The following is a 19,849-nucleotide window of genomic DNA, read 5'->3' on the forward strand; positions in this document are numbered from 1 at the left end:
AGAGCAATTGGCACTCATTAAAATTCAGTGTTGGAAGCAGCAGGTGGCAGGCAGTTTCATGGAACAATTTTGCAGTGTCCTTCCAGGGTTGAAGCAAAACAATTCATGTCATAAGATACCAGGTCTTACCCAGTCCCCATTTTAAGTTGCCGTAAGTAACAGTTCCTCTATTTTTATATGAATAGATTCAAGGATCTTAAATTGAATGTATTACAATAGCTTTCTAAAATATACATTTTCCTACCATGTGGTAGAAGGTGAATATATGCATTTCACTTACTATTTTCCCTTTGAAAAGGAATACGTTTCACGGCAAAATGTTGTTACTTGTTTTTCCAGAGGGAAGTGAAATTTGAATATCTGTAAAATTACACATATGTGGTATAAGTGAAAAAAATTGTTTTGGGGGCAAAAGACTAAGGAAATTGTTATCACCCTCCCTTCAATGCACTTTTTCCTGAGGGAAAGTAAACGTTGATATGTGCAGTGGATTTCTCTTCATGACACTCTAATCCCTACCACTCCCTCACCAAAAAGGAAAAGAAAAGGCAAGAGAAAAAAAAATGATTTCCATTTCCTGGGACCATTTAATATTTTCTATTCTTTACCAAAGCACCGTGGAGGTTTGAGACAAATAATTACATTCAGACCATTTTCATGAAAACAAGCAGTTCTTTGAAGAATGTCGGACTTAACTATCTAATTAATTGTTAAATCTTGGCAGTTATAGCCTAAAACGTTACATATTTAAGAGAAACTTTTTACTATACCTTCAACACTAGAAATAACCATAAAATTATAGCACTTATTTTCGCCTTCTATTTGATATACCAATGGACATAGCAGGGGACTCTTGACAAGAGGTTTAGAATACAAATGCTGGGGTTAGGTGGACTTGGATTCACATCCCCGTTTATCTTTTTACCGTTGTGTGATCTTGGCAAAAACCTCAATTGCTAGTCAAAGGTGATAGGAATATCTGCCTCATAGGGTTGTTACCAGGACTAAGTGAGATTTTGGATTTGGTGTCTAGCTCACAGGAAGCACTCAGAAGATTATAGAAGATTATTCATATTTTGGTAATATTAGAAGTGTCTGTGGTGAATAGAAGAAAAGTATGTTATAGAAAATATTTTTTTAAACAATGGTTATTTAGAAAAGTTGTACATACCAATGGGCATAACAAACAAACCAAAGCAATAAATAACACCGAGACAATATTACTCATGTTGGTATATGACAGATCTTTAAAATAATTGTGCATGTTCAATAAATTATTATGTGTTAATCTTTGCTTTTAATTTATTTGGAGAAAAAACTGTCATTACAGGTTTCTTCACAACAAGGCAATTATTTAAGAGCAATAGTCAATAATATTTTCCTGTAGGAGGCAGAAGTAGATCAGGGTTTTGTGGAGCCTGAAGTTTATAGCATTTTGAATGCCCACTTCAAGAGTTGGCAGTGAAGAGCAACCCAAGTATTTCACTGGAAAGTATCAGGAAAAGTACAGACATTGGATTTTTCCCCCTCTTTGGTAAGGAGAGAAGAGGAAATAGCAGCTATAGGAAGAGGCTCCCCTTGGGGCCTTGAGGGATTAAAAAAAAAAAAAAAAAAAAAAAGGCAGTGCTTCCTGGTTCACTGAAGTGGATTTTACTGGCAAAGAAACTTTGCCACAGCATTCCTTCAGAGAAATTCTACTTGTGAGCTTCTGCCTAATGTCGGCGTCCGCCAAGTGATGCAATTCCACTGGAATGTGTGCAACTGAACTGTTGGGATCAATGCCTTTGCAAACCTCAGAAGGAAAACATATATTCAGTACAAATGTTAGCTGCTACACTAAATACAAATGGGACAAGCTACCCTATAAAAAGACAACGCCAATTTTTTTTCAGTCAAGCTGAATGATGTTTATAAGAAAGGCATCTAAAACAGTGAGAAAAAGTGTTAATATTCTAGTATATACAGGAAAACAAAAACCAGAAAGAAAGGAGAAATGCTGAAAATAATTCATGTCAAGGAGATGTAAACATATTTAAAAGGATTCTTAAGATGTTATATAATCATAAAAACAAAATCCACTAGAGATATTTATATATGTAGTGTGTATATGTGTGTGTGTGTTTGTGTGTGTGTGTGTAGCCTTTATCGATGAAACAGTTTAGCAGCAGAATATATAGTACAAAGCTTCTTGAAAGATAATTGCTCCATTTGAAAAATATTTCTGGGAAATATTTAAGATACCGCTCACAGAACTTGACATGTCAAGTAGACAAAATGTGAGAAAGAGTATAGCGATTTGAATAATAAAACAATATTAGTCTAGATTCTTGAGTCAAGCTGCTTAGGTTTTATTCTTCCCCCACTGTCACCCAGTTGGATGTTCTTGGGCAATTTAGTTAAACTTTTTATGTTCCAATTTTCTTGTTGGTTAGATTTTGCAAATAATATCAAACCCATCAGGTTGTTATAAGGATTGAATAAATTGCTAATGCCAATGTAATGCTGAAGACACTACCTGACACATAATTTGAGTTATAGAAGTTGCCTATCAATATGTTCATCATCGTCTTCATCATTGTCCAGAAAAAATATAAATGAATAAAACTAACTCAGATCTATAAGAAACTAAAATGTCTAAACATAAATTGAGATTAGAGAGGTGATTGTTTCACTAAAATCAATAATAATAATAATGTACACAACAATATTTTGGTAGAATGATAGACTTATTGATTTTATTTTTTCAAAGCCTTTAAGAGAATCTACAGTCTGTCATCATTTAATTCATTAAAAATCAACTTTATTGAGGTATACTTTACATGAAATGACATATACCCATTTGTCTAGGTTGATAAGATTTGTCCAATACATATACCCTTGTAATCACTGCCACAATCAAAAACAGAATGTTTTTATTACCCGAAACATTCCCTGTTGCCCATTTGCAATTTATCTCTTTCTCCTTATCCCTAAACAAACATTCTGTTTTCTGTCAGTATAGAATTGCTTTTTTTTTTTTGATATCTTTCTCTTAGCATAATAGCTGTGGAATTAATCCAAGTTGTGAATATCAGTAATTTCTGGCTTTTTATTGCTAACTTGTATTACAATTATGCATTCACCACAATTTGTTTATCCATTAACCTGTTGATGGACATCAGTGTTGTTTCCAACTTTTGGCTGTTATAAAAAAAATTTGCTATAAAATTTCCTTGCAAAAATTTCTGTGGACATATGCTTTCATTTCTTTTGGGTGAATACATAAGAGCGGGGTTTCTCAGTAATATTACTTTAAGAGTGCCAGCTTGTTTTACGAAGTAATTGTAGCACTTTATATTTCTACCAGCAAGGTATGAGTTCCAATTGTCCCACATACTCAAAATCTTTTGGAATTTTCAATGTTTTTATTTTATTTTATTTTATTATTATTATCATTATTATTTTGAGATGGTGCTCACTCTGTTGTCCAGGCTGGTGCACAGTGGCACAAACACGGCTTACCACAGCCTCCATCTCCCGGGCTCAGGTGATGCTCCCACCTTAACCTCCTGACTAGCTAGGACTACAGGCACCTGTCACCACGCCTGGCTAATTTTTTGTATTTGTTGTAGAGATGGGGTTTCACCATGTTGCCCAGGTTGGTCTCAAGCTCCTGGGCTTCAGCTGTCTGCCCACCGTGTCCTCCCAAAATGCTAGCATTACAGCTGTGAGCCACCAGTCCCAGACTGAATTTTCAGTGGTTTTCATTTGAGCCTGTTTGATTAGTGTCTAGTAGCTGTGTCTTGCGGTTTTGATTGGCATTTTTAAAATAATGATGTTGAGCATCATTTTAATGGGCTTAAATGTCATTTGGATATCTTTGCTAAAAATGTTCATTTTTTTTTCATTTTCTAATGGGTTGCTTATTTTTTTGTTATTGAGGTGTAAAAATTTCTTAATGATATATTTCAAAAATCAGTCTTTTTAAATTTAATGAAGTCCAATATTTCTATTTATTCTTTATGTTCTGTGTTTTTATGTGTGTGTATGCACATGAGTTTTAAGAAATCTTTGCTTAATCCTAGGACTCATACATTTTCTTTCAGAAGTTTTTTTTTTTTTCAACTTTTATTTTAAGTTCGGGGTACATGTGCAGGATACGCAGGTTTTACGTAGGTAAACGAGTGCCATGGTGGTTTACTGCACAGATCATCACATCACCTGGGTATTAAGCCCAACATTCATTAGCTATTCTTCCTGATACTCTCCCTCCTCCCACCCGCCACGATGGGTACCAAGATGTGTGTTGTTCCCCCTCCATGTGTCCATGTGTTCTCATCATGCAGCTCCCACTTATAAGTGAGAATATGTGGTGTTTGGTTTTCTTCCAGAAAATTTAATGCTGTACCTTTAAGTGTGTGACCTATTTCACGTTAGCTTTTTGTGTGTGGTACGAGGTAAGGATTAAGGTTAACTTTTTTACAAATGAATATTCATTTGTTCAAGCACCATTTCTTGAATTATGATGCCTTTATCATTGAATTACCTGATAACTCTGTCTAAAATCCATTCACCTAAAATCGGCACATATCCATTAGCACAATATCCATTGAATTACCTGATACCTTTGTCTAAAATCCACTGTATATGTGCTGATCTGTTTTTGAACACTTAATTATGTTTTGTTGACCTATCCTGCCAACATCACACCGTCTTTATCGCTCTATTACTAGTAGTAAATTGTAAAAATCACAGGATATGTCTGCCAACTTTGTTTATCATTCGATTTTACTTTCTTGGTTAATTTTATTGCTACATAAATTTTAGCCTCATTTGATGATTGCTACAAGAAAATCTCCTGATATTTTCACTGAGATTATTTTAAAGCTAAAAACCTATTGGGAGATAATTGACTTCTTAAAAATATTGAGTGTTTTTGACCCATGAATGTGGCATATTTCTTTACTTATTTAGGTCTTAATTAATTTTCCTTAGTAATTCTGTGTAGCCTGTAGTGTACAGACCTTGTTTTAGATCCTTGATACCCACACCTCCTCCCCCAGTGTTTAAAAATTAATAAAATGAGAAGATATCAGCAAAGGGATCTGAGAAGGAGCAGGTAGTAAACGAGAAGAAAATTTAAGAAATTAAGCAAAAGCAATGCTTAAAGGAGGAGTACTTGGTAAACTGTATTACTTGTGAGTGATACATCAAGTAAAATTAGGACTAAGTTGACCATTGCATTATTCTATGCGTAATTTAATATTGACTATGACCAGAAACACTTATGTGGAACAGTGGGGACAAAAGACTAATCAAAGCAGATTCAAGATAAAATGAGAAAAGATGAATGGAGACAGTAAGTACAGAGAATTCCTTCAAGGTGTTTTACTATAAACAGAAGCAAGGAAATGCAGTAGTAGACAGAGGAAGACGGTATGTTAAAGGGGTGCTGATTTTTAAAATGGGCCAACTAGCAGCAAATCTCTTTGTTGTGATGCTACAGAAGGTAGGGAGAGTTGATGATTCCACAGAGAGAGACAAGTGGGTAGAATGGTCCCTTGAGTAGAAGACTATCTAAAGCACAGGTGGATGGCTTGGTCTAAGGAGGGAGCACGGTTCACCTCAAGTAACAAGATGAAGGGAGAGTCTGTGGTCACAGGGGCCAAGTATGTGACTAGATGTAGTGACAGGAGCTTATTGAAGTTTTCTTCTGGTTCTTATTCCTTTTTGGGTAAAATAGAAAGCAAAGCAATCAGCTGTCCTTGAATATGAGTCAGACTGTTGGAGATTTGAGTAAAGGGATATTCTTTAAGCTTGAATGAATTTCTTTCCACAAAAAAAAAATAAAGCCTACTACATAATGATTATTTTTCTTAAAACTCTGCAGAAAAAGTCATCTTGGCATTTTTACAAATAAAATATATTTTTATTCCTACAGAGCAAGAAATACTTCTATTTTTTTTAAAAAAAAAAAAAAGAGGCAATAAAAACAGATATTCTTTCTATAAAATTATTAGTCTAGTTTGCCTTCTTATGAATTGGGAGAAACAATAGGGTAGCCCATTTTGAGTTTACCTTGTGTTAGGAAGCATCATCTCCTTTCTAAAGCCTCTTATAATGTTGGTTAGACCCTGTGAAGAAATCCATAGGACATAGTCATAAAATGTAGTCATAGAAACCTTCTTGCTCATCAGATGAAAGTAAACTGAGGCCAAGAAATATCTTTTGACTTATTTCCATTTGATTTGGGGATTTCATTTTCTCAGTATCCACTTACTTTAAGATGCTAAGAGTATAATTTCTTTGTATGCCAACATGAAAATAAGTCCAAACTATCATTCTTTTCTCATGTTATAGTTATGTTTGTATGCACTAGAGTCTCAGTGTGCATGTATGTGTAATTCCTATTCCTTAGTTTTCATCCTTCAAGCAGTTAGTCCCTTCAAAACCCGATGACAAGACCCAAACATATTAAAAAGTTTAGTTGGAGGGCCCAGGGTGAAACACAAAAACAATTCTTCTTCTTACAGAGCTCTTAGGCAAACACATAGACACTTGTTCTCTGCCTCTGGAATTACAAATATGTTACTCGGAAAGCAGCAATACTCTTTTGGACTTGTTTGACTTCACTTTCTTTACCTGTCTTTAAGAAGCCTCATACACACATTTAAAAAATACAACTTATAAAGGTTTTAGTGATAGTGCATACAATCATTTGATTTTATTTCCCTTTTCTCTTCACCTTCACTAATAGGAGTTACTGGCATGCTTCAAAAAGCTTACATTTGAATACTGTCTAAATCAGTGCAGACCCTTGACCAGCTTAATCTTTGCTTGCAAATGACAATGCAGTGAAACCAGAGGAAGAAAAAAATTACTTCCTTTCCTGTTGGAAACCTAATAAGTAGTTAGTCTGACCCAGTTTTCAATAAGAGAGATTTTCTGATGACCCGACAGGAGTGACTATCTCCAGTCAAAGAAAGAGGAGGGTGAATTTAATCTTTCATGGCCCTGGAATGGCAGCTGCTCTCAGCTCTCTCTGATTCTGTGAAGGTTGATGAAGATAGAGCTGGCTTTCAATGTAGAAAGAATTTTCCTTTTGAATATTCCAAACGAGAGCTTTGCACATGTGCCTCAAGAACTGATTGTCTGGCTCCGACAGGAATGCAGCAGGAGAGGAGCGTATTTCATGCTTAAGACCAGAGAAGAGCCACGCAATACTCAGTGGATAAAAGGCTTGCAGTCCCAGCTGGGAAAAAGAGTCCCATTATCTCCCAGCTGCATAGACATTCCATACGGCTTGGTTCTGCCTGGACGCACAGCATGCCTGGCTGAGAGCTTGAAACAGAGTTCTGCAGAAAAACTGTAAAGATCCCGAGACATTTCCCTGGTAAGATCTGTAAGTACAAAATTGTGCTGTGTCTGCTGCAATGAGAATATTGCTGGGCAAGCTGCAGCTTTTCTTCCTTTCAATGTCTTTGTATTAGCATAACAGGTAAAAGCTGGGGTTGGGGGAGAAGTCACTGCTTTATTGATGCTGTGTTTCTATGATGCTGATGTTTAAAATGCATTTATTCCTTGTGTGGGAGAAATGTATTGAATCTGTATTCCGGGAGGTTAGGATCAAACCAGGGAAAGAAAGACTACAGGTATATTTCTCAGTGTTTCACTAGTCTTTGCTGCAGTAAAACTAATGGGCAAGACGGGATGACAGTGCTAATTCTGGGACTTTCAGATGGCTACACGCCCTTTCTGTAACGGCAGATGGGAAAATGTGATCGCTAAATGTTTTTTGTCTTTTTTTTTTTTTTAATCAAAGGGATGAGGGGTGGGGTTTGCAGTTCTCACCGGATGATTTAAAAGAATGGTTATAAAGTTTCCTAGGGGAGAATTTGGTAAGGGGAGCAAAGCAAGACTGGAGGTCATATGGGCTCACCAAATTTTGTCTGGCATTTTGCTTTATACCCAGCTTCTAGATAACAGCCTCTGGAGTTTCCTTTACCATTTACACCAGTTAAGTTGTCAGTATTAAGGTTCTTATAATACTTTATGAAAACTTTCAGAAGTTGATGACTTGGGAACAAAACTTTTAAGAGCTCTGAGATTAGCCACGTATAACCCATTATGTTAATGGGATACTGTAACATTGGGGTTTGGGGGGAAAATTGGAATTCATAGTTTTTGCTTCTCCAAATGAAAACTACTTATGTTTAAATAATCAGCATCCTGACTATGTCCTCTGAGAAACATTCACAGAATGACTAAATAGAAGTTATACTGAGAAAAAATAGAGTGAACAGTAGAATCACACAGAATCAATTTGGAAAATGAGGTATTCATAATTTTATCTACAGTGGCAATGTTTTCTGAAGATGTCTGTAAAAGAAGAAGCATATGCTGAATATTGAATTGCTTGTTTTGAGCAATTTTCATTTATCTGATGGGTTTATCATCTTTTTATTTTTGTTGTTGAAGGTTTCACCAATTTATGTGCATTGTATTTTATAAGGAAAGAAATGTTTAAGCAGACTCTTTTTCCCTCCTCCTTCACACACATGTGTAAACATACGCATGTTCACAAAACAAACATAAACATACAAAAATACTTACACAATTTGTGTAAAAAAAAAGAAATACAGAAGCATTTCATCTTTGATGTTTCAGTGGGGTTTCTTTTTCTTTTTTTAAGCAATAATCATGGCTGTGCAGTCCAAAGATTTCAAATATATAAATGTGGAAACTTTTATATAAAGCTTTATGTGAGGTTATATAAATGCATAACTTATCACATCTTAGCAAAAAAGTCAATCATTTATAAATGACTTCATTGCATTACTTCCTTTGAATATTTGTAGTGAAGGACCAGAATTTTTTTTTAGAATTTTTATGTAGCTTTCCTTAATGAAAACAAATTCACTTGTTTACTTAGAAAAGGATCACATATTTTCTCTGAGTTTAGAACCCCCTCTAAAAAAAATCAATTATGTTGTGAAAAGGATGTGTGGTATATTAAATTGATTGCATACTTCTGGGTTTTTTTTTTAGTAAGTAAAAATGCTCAGTAGTATAATAGTAAATTTGTACCTTTTAAATTCTTTTATGTGAGGAGAAGGAATACAAAATATTTGCTTATTTATTCACTGTTTATTTTAATAACATATTAATTGGAATGCAGAAGTATAAGTTCTACCTATTAAAAATGACTCAAACTATACATAAAAGTTCAAAAGGGAAAACCCATCACCTGTAAATAACAATCATGAAATTTGGCGACTATCATTGGAGACATACTGGTGCCTAAATTCAGATAAGATGAGAGATAAATACTTTTGTAAGAATGGTTTCTTACTATACACCTTTTAAAAAATAAATAATAAATATTTAGATAATATAGTCAATAATAGATACTCTTCTGTAAGAATGAGATCTTATCCTACACTTAAAAAAAAACAGAAATATTGGCCGCGCGCGGTGGTTCACACCTATAATCCCAGCACTTTGGGAGGCCGAGGCGGGCGGATCACGAGGTCAAGAGATTGAGACCATCCTGGCCAACATGGTGAAACCCCATTTCTACTAAAAATACAAAAATTAGCTGGGCGTTTTGGCGTGTGCCTGTAGTCACAGCTACTCAGGAAGCTGAGGCAGGAGAATCACTTGACCCCGGGAGGCGGAGCTTGCAGTGAGCAGAGATCGCGCCATTGCCCTCCAGCCTGGGTGACAGAGTGAAACTCCATCTCAAACAAACAAACAAACAAACAGAAAACAGAAAACAGAAACATTGAGTTTAATTTTTGATTTTAGATTTTAATTAAACTGAAAAAAGAGAAGTTGAAACAACATTGAAGAAATTGTTAAATTTCATGTATAGATTTCTCTCCAATGGAGATATTATGTCCAGAATAATACCCTTACAGTTAAGACCAAAAATTTTGAAAATAGAAATAGTTTGAAGATTTTTTTGGATGCACGTTTAAATAGTAAACAAACTTTTATAACCCTTGTTATGATAGTTAAATGCATTTGCAATGTGACTTGTCATCAACTCCACCCATACCACCTCAATTTAAACTACATCAGTTTTACATTACTGAGTACATACATTCTGGCTGAATTCCCATGGTCTCAGTTTAAACTTATTTCAAATTTGTAAGGAATTATCCTTTATCAACAGGCTTTTACTACCCAATTCACCATTTCTGTGTTCTTTATTTTCAATTATTTTTTGGGTTGTTAGATTTCAGTAAGTAGTACCTCTCCACCAAAGAAATAGTCATAGGTGCTATATTTTCTATGAGTTTGCATCTTGAACATGTATTTCTTTTGCCTTAGACATGCAAGATACGTTATCTTTCTTGGATCAAGCTTAATTTTTTCTTTTGGAAATGTGTAAATGTTTAAACATTTTTGGAGACCCTTCCTGTACTGAAAGTTGTTTTGCAACATTTTTAGGTCTGTCTGCAATTTCCGTCATTGAATGTGACTTGCTTTTTTTCTGATAAATGCCTACATGATTCTTTTGTTGTGTGTGTGTGTGTGAGTGTGTGTATGGGTGTTTGCTTTTACAGAATATTCCTGGATTTGTTCCATTTTCATTAACTTTTTTTGAGGTTTGCCCCATTAATTTAAGATTCTTTTATTTTAGGATTTGTTGTACTATTTCTTTTTTGTCCCTTAACTGGGCGTGGCCAAATTGTGGTTATCTTGCTTCTTTCTTTTCTTCAGGATCACCAATTTTGTACATGTTGTATCTCATTTGTCTACTTTCCACATCTTTCATATCCAAATTTCTTTTCAATTTTAATTGACAAATTGGTTATCTTCTTTATTTGAGAACCACTTGTTCTCTTGTTTGCCACTTGAATGAATAGTATAGCTTGCAATAAACCTATTAAGGCACAACCTTCTGTATTGTGATCTTGTAAATACATGTTTCCTTCTCTTAACACTCTAGCAATTTCCTCAGCTGGCAGGTTTTTGGGCAATCTGTATCCTCCTGAAAGTAAGAGAAAAAGAAAGTACTGATCGGTTTTCTCTGATGTCCCCCAAAGGTCCATGATTTTTAGTATTTGGCTACAGTGGAAATGGGCTTCAAGTCGTGTTTTGGGGTTTTGTCCACTAACATTTTCACTGAAGACGGAGGGTTTTTGCTTCGTTTTTTATCTGCACCACGACCACTGCCACCTTTTATATTTCTCTTTATTGTTTCTGTGGGACAATAGAGGACATTTAAAAATCTCTTTATTTAAGGAGTTTTAAATAGCAATCTTTCAGTTTGGAGGAATTCTTTGAATGAAAATTTTATTAGAATGTTGTTATTCTCAGTATTCATATTGAAAAGAGCTGTTCTAGTTAAGACTGAGTTCATCTGCATGATGTGTTGTAGTATTAAACATTTATTACGGTAAAGGCGTAACACAGGACATAGTAGAGGAAAAACAGAGCCATTGGGCATGCCTTCTGATAATGTCCCCTATTAGTTTATATTGATGAAGTCTGTGGCCTACTTAACTATTTTGCAATGAGTCCTAAGGTAATTTACAGAAACGTTACATCATAGTAACATGAATCAAAATCTGTAGACTCAAATCCTTTTTGAAAGTATACTGAGTAGAAAACTTATATGTATTAGGTTTACAATTAAATGAATAAATGAATGAATAAATAACTGAATTTCCCTATATTTCAAATCCTTAAAAGAGGCAATAAAAGAACATGATGTGTCGTATGAAGTATTATAAAAAACGAATGATCTTACTAAAAAGCAAATAGCAATTTCTCAGTGTCAATAAAATGATAGTGAGAGCAAGATTCAGGAGGCAAGCTCTTGAGCTGAAGTGCCGCCCATTGTAGATTTCCTTCCCTATATCTAGCACAGAATAGCTCTGTGGTCTTAGGCAAGTTTCTTAGCCTCTTTGTACTTCAGTTTCCCCATTCATAGTGGAGATAATATTAGTATTGACTTTACAGTATTTTCAAGAGAATTCAGCAGGTAAATATGTAAAAAATCTTGGAAGAAAGCCTGGCAATTAAGAAGCACTCTATGTGTTAGTTGTTTAGTTATTGTTATATTATTATTGCTATTATAACATTTATATATGAGCCTTAGGATCAATTGGGTAAAAATAATATAAAACAATGAAAAGACTAAAATTATAATTATCATCTAATCAATTGTATTGGGTATTTAATAGAGAATTAAATTTGGAGTGTAAATCATAAGTGGATATTAAAATAGAGCTCAGGAAAAATGGTGAGAAGATATAGAGATGCTGGTCTCTGGATCCAACTAGATTAAAAATAGAAATGGTATTTCTGTATACACCAAGCAATTGGACATGATCAAGAAAAAGGGTATATTTGCGGGGGGGGGAGGGATAGCATTGGGAGATATACCTAATGCTAGATGACGAGTTAGTGGGTGCAGTGCACCAGCATGTCACATGTATACATATGTAACTAACCTGCACATTGTGCACATGTACCCTAAAACTTAAAGTATAATAATACTAATAATAAAATAAAAATAAAAAAAAGAGAAAGGGTATATTTGATTTTTTGATTATAAAAGCAATGAACAGAAAAGCACGAGAACAAATAAGCCAGAATTTCTTTCTTCAAAGAAAAACATCACAAATACTTGTACATTTCTTTCCTGTTGTTTTATGTTGTTGTTGTTCTTTTTTTATGATAATGCCTTAATCAAGTAATGTATGCACCTGGAAACAACAACAATAAAATTTGAAATTATAGAGAAAACAATAAAATAAAAAATAAAGACCTTTCCATGATTTCCTGTCTTATTTCACAGAGATATTTTCTATAGTTTATTTTATTGTAATGTTTTCCTTCTGGCCACCATTATACATTTGAATAATATATTTGACTTCTATTGCAGAATCTATAAACTCAACATCATGTCTGCTGACTCCATTTTTTTAAAGATGGGCAGTTTTTCCTATTTTCACACTTTCACAAGACAATTTTAGGTGTTACATAAGTCTTTGAATTCTTTTGGCAGTAATGCACACACACACACACACACACACACACACACACATATATATATATATATATATATATATATAGTGGGAAATTTTAAGTATTCAGGTAAGGATTAAATTTAATAATGACCAATTCCCACCCCCAGAATTACCAAATGCTAAATTTTATTGGAGATTTAACATCTTCAGTATTCATAAAATGAAAATACTAATACAATATATAATAAGGGCCTACGTTGTAACTCTACCTAGTCCATTCCTCATTCTACATTACCATGAATTGTATATTTACATATAATTGTTATATATGTATGCCTATATAAAATATTATTTTAAAATATTATGGAAATAGTATATTGAAAGCAAACTTATTTAACTTGTGTAACTCATTCCATATTAGACTATTTAGACTCATTCTTATAAATAAACACATTTCGCCGGGCTCAGTGGCTCACGCCTGTAATCCCAGCACTTTGGGAGGCCGAGGCGGGCGGATCACGAGGTCAGGAGATCGAGACCATCCTGGCTAACACGGTGAAACCCCGTCTCTACCAAAAATACAAAAAATTAGCAGGGTGTGGTGGCGGGCGCCTGTAGTCCCAGCTACTGGGGAGGCTGAGGCGGGAGAATGGCGGGAACCCGGGGGGCGGAGCTTGCAGTGAGCCGAGATTGAGCCATTACACTCCAGCCTGGGTGACAGAGCCAGACTCTGTCTCAAAAAATTAATTAATTAATTTAAATAAATAAATACAGTTCTAGGATATATTTCACCTTATGTGTTTTATATTCTTATTATTCATTCCCTTATTGAGGGATATTTAATTTATTGAAAATATTCACTATTGCAGTGTTCTATTATCACATACATTGAAAACTTATACACATTAAGTGAGATTTTCATTAAGAATATCAAGTCCGTGCTGCATGTCAACAATTTCATGTTTGTTATTTCTGGTCTCAGAATTCCTATGTTTCAACAAATGTACTTAATTCATCCGCACCTACTATGATGTTGATGAAGTTGGACTTATTTCTTACTTCTTACTTCATATTCAACCAAAGTGTTTTTTAGTAAACAGTCTTTTATTGGTTTGAGGAAATATTCTTTATTCATTTTTTCAACTTTTATTAGTTAAAAATGGTATACTCCCTTTATCGTATTTTAGTAAATAACTATTTTAACATAAAATGTACTTTTATATTTTCAAATAAAGACTAAAGATAGTGTATATATCTTCTTCATAAACAGGACAATGACTTGTTTAAATTTACTCTGAGATATTTCTCCCAGTGCTCATATTTGCACTATTTATTTTTAAACTGCCCCCAATATTTTTGTCAAGGTTTTTTTAGACTTATGACGTGATTTCCTGAGTTCTTTATTTACCATATTCTTGCTATTTATGTGCATCTCCTAGATTCTCTTCTTGTGCTCTGAAGACCATTTTAAGGTCATTCAAAAATTGTTTTAAACTCCCTTAAAATTTATTTGTTGAAAATCGCTTATGTTAGTCACATTCTAAAATAATACTGTAGTTCATCAGAGCACTCTATGTGGAAGATACTTTTCTCTCAACAATTTTTGCATATTCTGTTCCATGATCTTCTGGAATATAATTTTGCTCATGAGGGGACTGTTTATGATGTAATTATCACACTTTTGAATAAATATTCGTCTTTTCACTCGGACAGATTTTAAGAATTTCTCTTTGTCATTGATTTCTTCAAGTTCACTGCAATGTATGTAGTTGTGGAGTTGTTTCAAATTTATCTCATTTAGGCCTCTGCAAGCTCCTAAATCTTTCTTCCATTCTGAAAAATTCTCAGCTATTATATATTTCAATCTTGCGTCTTTTAAATCCCTTTATTTTCTCCTTCAGGAATGCTCATTCATTATTTCTAGGCTTCTGTCTTTGATTTCTTTGCATTTCTTTCATTTTCTAGTGTTGCAGTCAGTGTAATTTCTACCAATCTGTATTTTATACTTTTATTTTTTAAAAAACAGTTTTAATTTCTATAATTTATATTGCTCTTTTAAAAATTATCCTGCTATTCTGCTTGTTCTTAATAGTTTCTCTCCCATTCTTAAGCTCTCAAAAAAATTTCAGTAAGTTTATTTTAGATTGTGATTGTTTTACTATTTTAATTTTTAGAGTCAAATTTCTTTATTACTTATGTCTGCTGGATTTCCCTCATGGTGGTTCATTCTTCCTGGTGCTCATAATTTTTTTATGACAAATTCACCTTCAACAGATGTTGTTTTCTATGGGAGACCAACCTTGTTTGAGTTGTGTATGCTTTTGCATAGCATCGCATTGCTATTGATTCTACAGTGGCTCTACAAATATCTCTGGTTCTGGACTATTTTATATGTGAATTTTTTGGCTTCAAATTATATTACCATATAGACAGAATGAATTTGGGCCCTACAACCAAGCATAGTACACATTCTGGGTTCTGATTGCCTTTTTCGGATTCTTTTTTCTACCAGATCACCAAGTTTCCATAAGGTCAGCTATGTAATGCAAAGGACCCCTTTTTGGGAGGTTATTCCAACTTTACAATCTCCTTGCCAGTCTGAGTTTCTCTCCATTTGGTGCCTCTGAGGGCTTACCTCTTTAACATTTAACCTCGGCTATGTGTACTTCTTAAAGAGTTTTATACTTACATAGCATTTACATGTGTTTGTAGTGGAAAAGAAATCCCTCTTCACGTTGCATGGTGCCGTGTACTTCCCTATACTTCCATGTTGGCTGGACTTGTTCCCATCCGCTTTCCATCATTTAGAAAGTCATCAAACTCTCACTTGCTGGTATTTTATTTTTATCAGGTACTCTTATGGTTTCATGGAGTTATTTTGTAATAGGCAATGGAACATTTGCTAATTTTTTTCTGGAAACATTGTCAAGTCTCAGGTATATAATCTAATAAGAAATGGTTAATGTCAATTGTATATGTCTTTCCATTGGCTCCACAAACATTACTGTAACAAATTAAAGTGCTTGTTTTAGTCCAATGACAGAATATGTTAGGGAGCTCTAGAATTTAGTTAGAAAAGCAAGCCAGTGGATGTTATTAGTTTATATATTCTTTGGGAGTGGCAGCTCTATTAATTCCTTAAGTTTAATGGTATGCAAATTCTTAAAATCTAGAGGCAATTATTCAAAAACTTTGTTAGCACAGCAATTCCTAGTGACACAGTACAAGCTGAATGCTAAACGGACCATATTTTTAAGATGATTTCTGCTGAATAAAAGTGAGAATATTGGATGGGTCCTTTTAAAATCCTTTTTTAAAAGTCTTCTTTTAAGGCGGGAAGGAGAGATCAAATAAGATATTTGGTGAAGTTTCTAGTAATTTATCATTCATGCATGTAAGAGGCCAACATGAATGAGCTCTCAAAAGAATGTAGACATTTTATTTTCAATGCCTTTTTTGCATATTGTTTCAAGGTTTATTTGGTTTCCCATATTTGTATGTCTAATGTGGTTGTGTAAGGAGCTCTATATGGAGACCGCTGAGCTATCTTTCTAAATAGCAGGAGTGCAATATACTTGCTGGAATAGAGCTTTTAGTGAAAGAACATGATTTTCCTCTCTGGCATCTATCAGGGTCTCCCAATCACTAAAGCACAGTAAATGAAAGAGAAACTCAGAAATCAGGTGTGCCGCTAATTTTCTATCAACAGAGTTAAGAATAAATTAAGAACAGTCCTGCCGGGCGCGGTGGCTCCCGCCTGTAATCCCAGCACTTTGGGAGGCCGAGGTGGGCGGATCACCAGGTCAGGAGATCGAGACCATCCTGGCTAACACGGTGAAACCCCGTCTCTACTAAAAATACAAAAATGAGCCGGGCGTGGTGGCGGCGCCTGTAGTCCCAGCTACTCGGGAGGCTGAGGCAGGAGAATGGCGGGAACCCGGGGGGCGGAGCTTGCAGTGAGCAGAGATGGCGCCACCGCCCTCCAGCCTGGGCGACAGGGCGAGACTCCGTCTCAAAAAATAAATAAATACATAAATAAGAAATAGACATGCATTAAAATAATAGGTAGGCTATATAATACACAGAAAACATTTATACAAAATTAATGTCCAGGCCGGGAGCTGTGGCTCACGCCTGTAATCCCAGCACTTTTGGAGGCCGAGGCGGGCGGATCACGAGATCAGGAGATCGAGACCATCCTGGCTAACACGGTGAAACCCCGTCTCTACCAAAAATACAAGAAATTAGCCGGGCGTGGTGGCGGCGCCTGTGGTCCCAGCTACTCGGGAGGCTGAGGCAGGAGAATGGCGGGAACCCGGGAGGCGGAGCTTGCAGTGAGCCAAGATGGCGCCACCGCACTCCAGCCTGGGCGACAGAGCCAGACTCCGTCTCAAAAAATAAAAATAAAAAAAAAAGAAAGTCCTTAAAGTTGTGCTGAGATGAAAAAGTTTCTGTTATTCTAGACTTGATAGAACACACTTGTTTAAAGTGGAACATGAAGGTGTTTTCTAGGCATTTAATGTCGTTAGTCAATTCCTAAACATGCTCAGTTGTGAATCTGTGTTGCTGACAGGTAGAATTTTGACAGCCCTATATATAAATTTACCACAAAAGTATATGCTGAAAATGGTTCTATTAGAATTAGCCGGTGCTTATAAAATATAATTTTTTCAGAGTTGCCGACTTTCCTTTTTTGTTGTCCCTTTGTGCAGACTGTGCCTATGCGGTTTGTAGAAAAGAGAAGGAAGTTTTCTATCTGCTTTCTTTAGGGCACTTAGGTGGCAAAAGTATTATTTTTACTGACTTCACTCTTATTCTGTCTTTTGTCATGCAGATGTACGGAGTGATTTTGCAATAAACAGAAACAACTTTCTCATAGAAAAAGAGAGACTGGAGTTTAAAGGAAAATAATCTATTCGTTATGCGTAGTTCAACATAGGAAGCCAAACAGCAGTTTTTAAGAAATTACACACACAAGACACAATGCCTGAGCCAATTGCTTTTACCATTAGGGGGCTCCTTTTACTTATGAGGCAAAAGTCATTTTTCCAAAGAAACATGGAACAAAAATTCATTTTCTGCCAGTGAAGTTTCAAGATTCACATATATCTTTAGGTATCCAAAAATAATGTTAGTCTTTGAGTATTAGCCCCCGGATGTTATTTTCTTTTATGATTTTTTTTCTACATGAAACGGTCTTCAATTCGTACAAAAATTCTAGTTAATTCTGATAAATAATTTAACGTACTAAATTACCAATATTAATAATATTTTTATTCAACAATATATATTAGTAATAATTCCACAAATATTGGCTGAATACTTACTATGTAATAGATGCTATTTCAGGCACTAGTGATGCAACTATGAACAAGACAGAGAAGAGTTCTGCTCCTGTAAAATTCACATCTGATGCGTATTCTTGAATTCAATGAAGTATACAACTCTACCAGGTGGAAAGGGGGGCTAACATTGTTAATTTTCGGTCTCACCTGACAAATGAGCATTAGAAGCCATTAAATTATTTAATTCCAAGATGATTATTTTAGTAAAGTAAACTTGCATAGTGAGATGCACCAAAAAGACTAAATAAAAAGAAACATATATTTACTAAGAATAATAATTATTCCTCTGTTTTTATAGAGAGTGAGATATTCTGGGTTTTTCAGAGGATTAACAAAAATAGGATCTCACATTATACACATGTTTATGGAATTTCCTAATCACAGACCCAACTCTTTCCCTGAAAGGTATTCATTTTCGTCAAGTGAATAGTACCAGTGGATTTACTAAGAAGGTAAAATTTGTTCAAAATTTGCAAACTACACTAAATTATTGAATAACCTTGGTAAATTAGTACGTATATAACAAGTGAAGGAAAATTAATAACCAACAGAATATCATTTAATACATTTTTCCAGTTATAAAATCATATATGTTTATTATTACAAAATTTGGAGAAGACAAAATATGCATAGATTGTTATTCTATTACTCTGCATGTGGCATCCTTTCAGTCATCTTGTATATGTGTGTACGTGTGTGCGTGTGTGTGCATTTAAAATACAAAATTGAAATTAATGCATATGTTCTGCTTTATAGCTTGTTTTTATTAATTAACATCTTATAAACATTCTCAAGTATCATTAAATATTCTCCTAATGCTGAAGGATTTTTCACCAGATGGGTGTTCCCTTTTTACTCAAACCAATAACCTATTGTTAGATATTTATCTTTTACACAATTTATTGAACAATGCTATGGTACATATCCTTGTACCTGAATCTTTTAATATGTGTCTGATTATTTCTTAAAAACAAATTCCTAGTAGTACAATTTGCATGTCAAATTGTGGGTTTTTAAAAATGTGAGTGTGTATATTACTAAATTGTCCTTTAGGAAGACAACTCCCTCTGTACTTGCAGGCAGGTGAGTGCTCTTTGTGACCATCCTTGTTAATACTAAATATTATTAATTGTAAATACTCTCCGATTGGATTACAAAACAAATACACAGATAACAGTATTTCAGTATTGCTCTATATTACATTTTTTGGAAAATGCATGCCTGAATGAATATTTCATGAGTGTTTGAACCATTCATATCTGCTCATTTTGCTGAAGTCAGCCTCTGTCCTTTGTTTATTCTTTTGATATTTTACATTTTTTCTTATGCTCAGGAAGTTCATCAGATATCGGTGAGATAACTTGTAATTTTCACTTTTCTTCAAGTTTATAAGACATTTAACTTATTACATTTTAAGTGTGAAACCTTGAAAAATGTTTTATAAATTATTTGAACCTCAGTTTTCAAATGTACACAGTGCAGCCGGTAATACCTGACCTGGCTTTCACAAACTCAGAATGGTCAGATAAAAACTGAAAT

The 19,849-nt window shown here is 34.5% G+C and overlaps 1 protein-coding gene across 20 annotated transcripts in view; it reads left to right on the top strand.

Moving 5' to 3' along the window:
* The window catches only part of CNTN6 (contactin 6), a 311,194-nt gene continuing 298,620 nt past the window's right edge, over positions 7,276-19,849 (top strand). For 14 of the 20 annotated variants that reach the window (XM_047447972.1, NM_001349352.2, NM_001349358.2 and 11 more), the window contains exon 1: positions 7,276-7,372. The gene's annotated coding sequence lies outside the window, so the exon portion shown is untranslated. Of the gene's footprint in view, positions 7,478-19,849 lie in introns of all 20 variants that reach the window. The other 6 variants (NM_001349351.2, NM_001349354.2, NM_001349361.2 and 3 more) reach the window with 2 other exon arrangements.

This window comes from Homo sapiens, chromosome 3, assembly GCF_000001405.40.
Source record: "Homo sapiens chromosome 3, GRCh38.p14 Primary Assembly".
In the NCBI taxonomy this organism is placed as follows: Eukaryota; Metazoa; Chordata; class Mammalia; order Primates; family Hominidae; genus Homo; species Homo sapiens.